This window comes from Homo sapiens, chromosome 10, assembly GCF_000001405.40.
Source record: "Homo sapiens chromosome 10, GRCh38.p14 Primary Assembly".
In the NCBI taxonomy this organism is placed as follows: domain Eukaryota; kingdom Metazoa; phylum Chordata; class Mammalia; order Primates; family Hominidae; genus Homo; species Homo sapiens.
In genome coordinates, this window is record NC_000010.11 from 76,778,765 (window position 1) to 76,785,540 (window position 6,776).

Here is a 6,776-nt window from a genome sequence, read left to right on the forward strand (position 1 = left end):
ATACAGTGATTCTTTAGCGACAGAATTAGAGATGGAAAAATAGCAAAAACAGACACCTGGGTTCCCAGCTGGAGGCTACAGCTAGGACAACCATATACCTGAGACTGGACTCATGAGGCAGACATGCAGAGAAGTTTGTCAAGTATTATTGTGGAGCCCTCAATGTGCTGGTAGGAATCTCTAAGTGCCCATACATAGGTTCTTTGCTGCCCTTTCTCAGACTTCAAATGCATTCTGAGTCCCACTCTGCAAACAGTGGAGGCTCCGTGTTTGTTGAATGGATGAATGAATCAAAGAGGCTGATTTAACTGGGAACACACTTCAATGTTGATCATAGAAAAGGGAGGTGGGTTCCCATACTAGCTCACAGTGGAGAAAGCAATTCAATTACCAACACTAACAGACAATAAACTCAGGCTAAAACATGGCAATTTTATGAGACACTTGGCTGCAGCAACTTCGCCTTTCTTTTCTTGGTTTCTCCTTTCCCTTTCCACCCCCTATTGACTAATTGTAAGCAGCACAGCGTGGCATCCGGGCTTTTTATTTTTTCTCGTATATCCTCATCACTGTGTGGGCAATGGGAGGCCTAAGTTGGCTGTTTAGTCATTTGTGTTTCTTTTTTCCTTCTCATACAGTTGAATAACTCATGGTCTAAAGGCTGAGGAATTTGGCATATGCAAACACCACATGCACAATGAATGGGAACCTTATTTGTTTCGAACTGGGAAATAGAGTTAAGAGAGGTTTACAGCACTGAAAGAAAGGGCCAGAATTTTGTCCTGACTCCCTGGTGGTGGAGTAGGTCAGGGAATAAACGTAACCTTGAGATTTCTGGGTCCCTGAAAACAGGGAAAGGTATTCAGACCAGGGGATTAGCGAGTCTGTTAGTTAACACATGAAAATGCCCTCACAATTTTCCCGGTAGGAGGTTGTAGAACGGGTAAGGAAGAGGGATTATAAGGAGGAAAAAGAACCATGAGGAAGAAAGGATGATGATTTCTGAAAGCAGAAAGAGAGGAGAAAGTCAGACACACTTTGGAACCTGTTTCTTGGATGACTGCATATAGGATGGGGCTTTGATCTATATTTAGTCCCCAAAGCTCAGAGCTGCACAACAACCTTTGTGGATGCCAGAGAGACTCATGTTGGACATCAGAACAAGGGCAAGAGAGGACGGTGGGAGAGAAGAATTACAGAAGAGGAATGAGGGCGCACGAGGAGGGGTGCAGTGGGGGAAGGGGAGCGCTCTCTTCCCCTCCTTTGTGAATACACAGACAAGTCCATCAAAGCTGTGGCAGGCTGCAGTGATGAGAAAGATACATAATATGATAAAGCTTGGTAGCAGGCATGTGTGATTGAACAGACCAATGAAGAGATAACATTTGAAAGCTTTACTGCTTGGAAAGCTGTTAGCAAGCTGGTGTCCCCTTCATCATGTTTAATTTTACTTTTACTACCCTTCATTTGCTTTGACGGGTTGATGTTGCCATGGTGCGGTTGGAATTCTCATAAAAGTGCTGTTACCCTTTCAAGATGACCATTTTTTTCTAGGGTTTATACCACATTTTATAGTTATGTCAGAAGGTTTACTTGGTTTATGAATTCTCCAAGCTCTAAGATTGCTGTCAAAAAACTCCATGTTGCCTTCGGTTTTGCCATTTAATTTGTGACCTTTTAACAGCAGTTGCATTATTGGGTGATGTCCCCACATAATTAGAAATGCATCTTTGGGTTCATGAAAGTAAACAAAGGGCACACAGAGAAACCGAGCTTCCTTTTCCTAGGTTACAAGCCCCTGAATACATGTGACTGTCTATATGCATTTGAATACTGTATTTTATGCAGATAATGGTAATAAATAAAATAACTATGATCAACTATGAAATCTAATGATTAATATATAAGGTGATGACTCTTTTATTTTCTCTCTAACAATTCAAGTCTGGTAAATTGTAAAACACTCTTTATTAAATCCCTACTGAAAATGTCCAGGATATAGATTCTGAATAGCATTTAAATAAGCCTTCAATTTCATCAATTATTACAATCTGTTCACTGAATGAGACATTTAATTAATCGCCATATCTATGTCTAAGAATTCTTAAGAAACCAGAGGATCTCAATATACCATGTACCACCACATTTGGGAGGTAGCCTCTGCAACCAATGTGGAATGTAATTGCAAGATAACGTGGTGAGATCTGTTATAGCACATAATTTCCATGGACTGAAATGTGCTTTTGCATTCAGATTTGAGTGAGACATCAGAGGAGTATTATGAATTCTATTTTTCATTCCAAAGTGTATCTTTCAGGTTTATCCTAGTCAATAAATATTTAGTTCAATCTTCTACATTGCCTTGCAAGATCTGGAATGTGGAAGCCATTTGGGGAAGTGAAGAGCTACCTGGGTATTAGTTTCCTATTGGTGCTCTAAAAAATTGCCACAAACTTAGTGGATTAATGCAAATGTATTATTTTACATGCCTGGAGGTCAGACGTTCAAAATGGGCCTGACTGGGGGAAAATCAGAAGGGTTGCATTCCTTCGGAGGCTCTACAGGATATTGTTCCCTCACCTTTTCCAGCTTCCATAAGTAGCCTGCAATCACCCGTTTTCCCATAGTCACAATTTCCTCCGGCCTCCAGCTTCTTCTTTTCACTTTTAAGGGCCCCTATGATTACACTGGGTCCATGCAGATAATCCAAGAAAATCTCTCTTTTAAGATCGGTTGATTAGCAACCTTAATCTCATCTGCAGAGTTAATTCATCTTTGCCATGTAAAATAACATATTTACTGCTCCCCAGGATTAGGATGAAGATATCTTTGGGGTCCCTTATTCTGTCTATCACACCGTCCACTGGAAGTAGCAGGCATATTGGAAGATGACTTAGGGCAATATGGAGAAGGCTTTCACATTAAATTAGAGTTGGACTAAATGACCAGAGGTTAATTTTCCAGCTTAGAGGTTATGACACTTTAACATTGTACAAGGAACTGAATTTCTCTGATTTTAGCTTCCTCACTGGTAAAATGGGCATGGTAACATTTTACTACCAATAAGCAAGAGTTTTAAAGCTGCAGACAATTTAATTATATATATATATACCTAAAGTGCTTACTTAACCTTTTTGCAACTATTTTACATTTTAATTGCTTTGAATTTTGCTATTAAAAATAACACTGGAGTATACATCCCTGTATATCTCTGGTTGTTTTCCTATGATAATTTCCAACTTGTAGCTGTACTAGGTCCAACAGTGTGAATGTCTTTAAGGACCTTGTACTTTTCAAAAAGGCAGCATAGGCGTGAGTGTATGTCCTGGAAGAAGCACAAGATAGGGCAGATGAGTCTGTTTCTATTCAGTTCCACTCGGTTCCTGAGACCTGTCATAAAATGTTTAAAGATACACATTTTTATACATCATGGCCACTAAATGCAAAAGAAATACATTTTATGGTGTTCAACCAAAGAAAGTTCAAAAAGAACCCTGTTGGAGTTATATTTTTAAAATGCTCTAAAATATCAGGATTCAGTATGACATACAAAGTTCCCTGTGATATTTATTGTGTAGTAATTTTTGACACACAGCTCCCTGTTACAAACTGACCCTATTGTTTCAGCCCCAAAGCTTCTTAAGCTGATAAGCAAGGACAGCAAAGTCTCAGCATAAAAAGCCAATGTGCAAAAATCACTAGCATTTGTATGCACAAACAACGCTCAAGCAGAGAGCCAAATCATGAACAAACTCCCATTCACAATGGCCACAGAGATAATAAAATGCCTAGGAATACAGCTAACTAGGGAGGTAAAGATCTCTACAAGGAGAACTACAAAGCATTGCTCAAAGAAATCAGAGATGACACAAGCAAATGGAAAAACATTCCATGCTCATGGATAGGAAGAATCAGTATCATTAAAATGGCCGTAATGCCCAAAGCAATTTATAGATTCAGTGCTATTCCTGTTAAACTACCACTGACTTTCTTCACAGAACTAGAAAAAACTATTTTAAAATTCATATGGAACCAAAAAAGAGTCTGAATAGCCAAGACAATCCTAAGCAAAAAGAACAAAGCTGGAGGCATCATGCTACCCAACTTAAAACTATACTACAGCACTACAGTAACCAAAACAGCATGGTACTGGTACAAAAACAGACATGTAGACCAATGGAATAGAACAGAAAACCCAGAAATAAGACTGAACACCTACAACTATCTGATTGTCAACAAACCTGAAAAAAACAAACAATGGGGAAAGGATTCCCTATTCAATAAATGGTGCTGAGACAACTTGCTAGCCATATGCAGAAGATTGAAAGTAGATCCCTTCCTTACACCATATACAAAAATTAACTCAAGATGGATTAAAGACTTTAATGTAAAACCCAAAACTATAAAAACCCTGGAAGACAACCTAGGGAATACCATTCAGAAAAGGAAATTTACATCCAAAACAGAAAAGTAACTTGCCCAGGTTGCCACAAGGATTTATTGGTAAATTTAAAACAGTTGTGTATGTGTAGGTCACATCAACAGCAACTAAACTGTAAGAGTTACCCTTGTAAATTATGTGAGAAATAATGCAGCATTCTAGGCTTAACTACTATAAAAGAAAAGATTCTATTTCCAAGTAGTATCTGTGATGATCACACATGTGTAGGTCATATTGGAAGTGGGAGGAGGGCACCTGTAACTGAAGAGGGTATTTTTCCTAGAATGTTAATATTGCTGTAAAAATTGGGCAGGAGGCTAATCTAATTAATTAGATCTTGGCCTCTATCATTTGGGGATGGTCACATCTTGGAACAGTATTTGTTCTTGTGGTACATGCCTTCTAAGACAACTTTCAATAATCCCTACCTCCTGGTGTTCACATCCTTGTGTAATCTGCTCCCCTCGAGTGCCATTGGCTGACTGAACTAGTAACTTACTTCAAATCACGAGCATATATAAGGTGACGTGATGTCAATTCTATGATTAGGTTATGAAAGATTGCAAGCAAGACTCTCTGTCTTGTTGGTCTTGATGAAAGAAGCTGCTGTGTTAAAGAGGCCACATGGCAAGGAAATGAGGGTGGCCTCCAGCCAGCAGCCAGCAAGAATCTGAGGCCCTTAGTGCAACTGGACCCCAGGCACTAAAGTTTGAGAACAACAGCTGCATGAGCTGGGAAGCAAATCTTACTTCAGTTGAACCTTGATGGCAGCCTTGTGAGAGACCCTCAAGTCAATGGTCCAGCTAGGCCATGACCAGATTCCTGACGCAAAATGAGATAATAATTATATATAATCTTCTTTAAGTCACTAAGTTTTATAGTATTTTTTAATGCAATGATATATTGCTATTACAGTCCTTGATGGAGTATGATTTTTTGCTTTCTTGGAAGACTAAGGCTTTCTTATCATGGTTACATCAGAAGGTAACATGGGCTACGGGTTTTGAACACTTTCAGACTAATGGGCTCTGTGGCTCTGTGCAAAGCAGCAGGAAGTACATGAAATCCCTCAGGGCCAACCACCTCTAGAGTAGTTGAGGGTTGTGAAATGGGAAATCAGGAAATACAACCTTTCCATTGCCCACTTGCAGGGTTTACTACAGCTTAGCAGAAACTCCTGCAAGAAAGAAAAGTAAGAATGAAGTGGCACTAGCAGGAAAGAGAGTTTTTTGAGATATAGCTGGTCTCACTGGTGTCCCTTAATTGCACATTTTTATTTAGTTTTAGCCAGCTGGCAGTTATACACCATTTTAATTATGTTAGAACTGGAAAAAGAAGAGTATTTAGTTTGGGTTTCTTGTTCCAAGTTCCTTTCTTAATTGCCTTTTCATTCAAGCTGAAGACTTATGGTGGCAGCCACAGCACTGTTGAAAAACAATTCATTGTATCAGTGACAGGGCCTCATAACAGAGCACCTTAATAAGACCAAGTTCTGTACTTCTTGACTCCCCAAGATGGATGATGTTCATAGTCCATTATTTGAACGAGGATATCTGACTTATGGCAAATCTATCTGAAACAGCATTGTAGAATTGTATTTTATCTTTAAGAAATGTATTTTTATAAAAGTAAGATATTTACTTCTGTTGTAGGAAGGAACTTAAGCAGAAAAATTTCTCTCTAATGTTTGTTGAATCATAGGAGAATGATGAGGGAGAACAGGGTGATCCATCCACCAACTAACTTGAAAACCTCGGTTGTATTTTTATTTCAGGAAGAAAGGCTGAGCTAAAGGTGCCCTATGGTATTACATGAAATACTTTTCTTCTTTTTCCAAGTCATGCATATCACCCAGGAATTCACAAGGGTAGCATCTCTGTTCTCTATTACTTAAATTTGCACAAGCATGTGATCAATTTTTCTTTCCTCTCTTTCCTCTGTAGGGCTTGTAAAAAGGGTTGAAATTTACAGTCTTCAAGGATAGTTATCCTTGTTTGGAATCATAGTATGTAAGAACCAGAAAGCACCTCTGAGATTACCTGGTCCGACCCTCTCATTTTACAAGTGAGGGAACGAAGGCCCTTTAGGGAAATATCTCTTCTGTGATGGATGCTTTTAATGACACCCGGAGTCCTGAAACAGAAAAGGCCAGGCTCAGGATTCACAAGAGCAAGGAAATCAGGCATACGGGTAAGGTGTTTTCACTTGATTGTAGTTTATTGTTTTCTTCTTATTTGAAGGAAGTTACAAAAATGGTAGAAGGCCAAAGGTACACAGACTGTGCTGGCAGAACCCAGGATTCAGCCTAACTCTCTGACTCTCTGACTCTGTGACC

At 39.2% G+C, this 6,776-nt stretch overlaps 1 annotated feature.

The window, feature by feature from the left end:
* Positions 309 to 1,201: an enhancer, noted in NCBI's record as "NANOG hESC enhancer chr10:78538831-78539723 (GRCh37/hg19 assembly coordinates)". NCBI's record gives its function as "activates a minimal SCP1, AML or CMV promoter by ChIP-STARR-seq in naive H9 embryonic stem cells {active_cell/tissue: H9 hESC(naive)}" and the evidence as "EXISTENCE:reporter gene assay evidence [ECO:0000049][PMID:30033119]".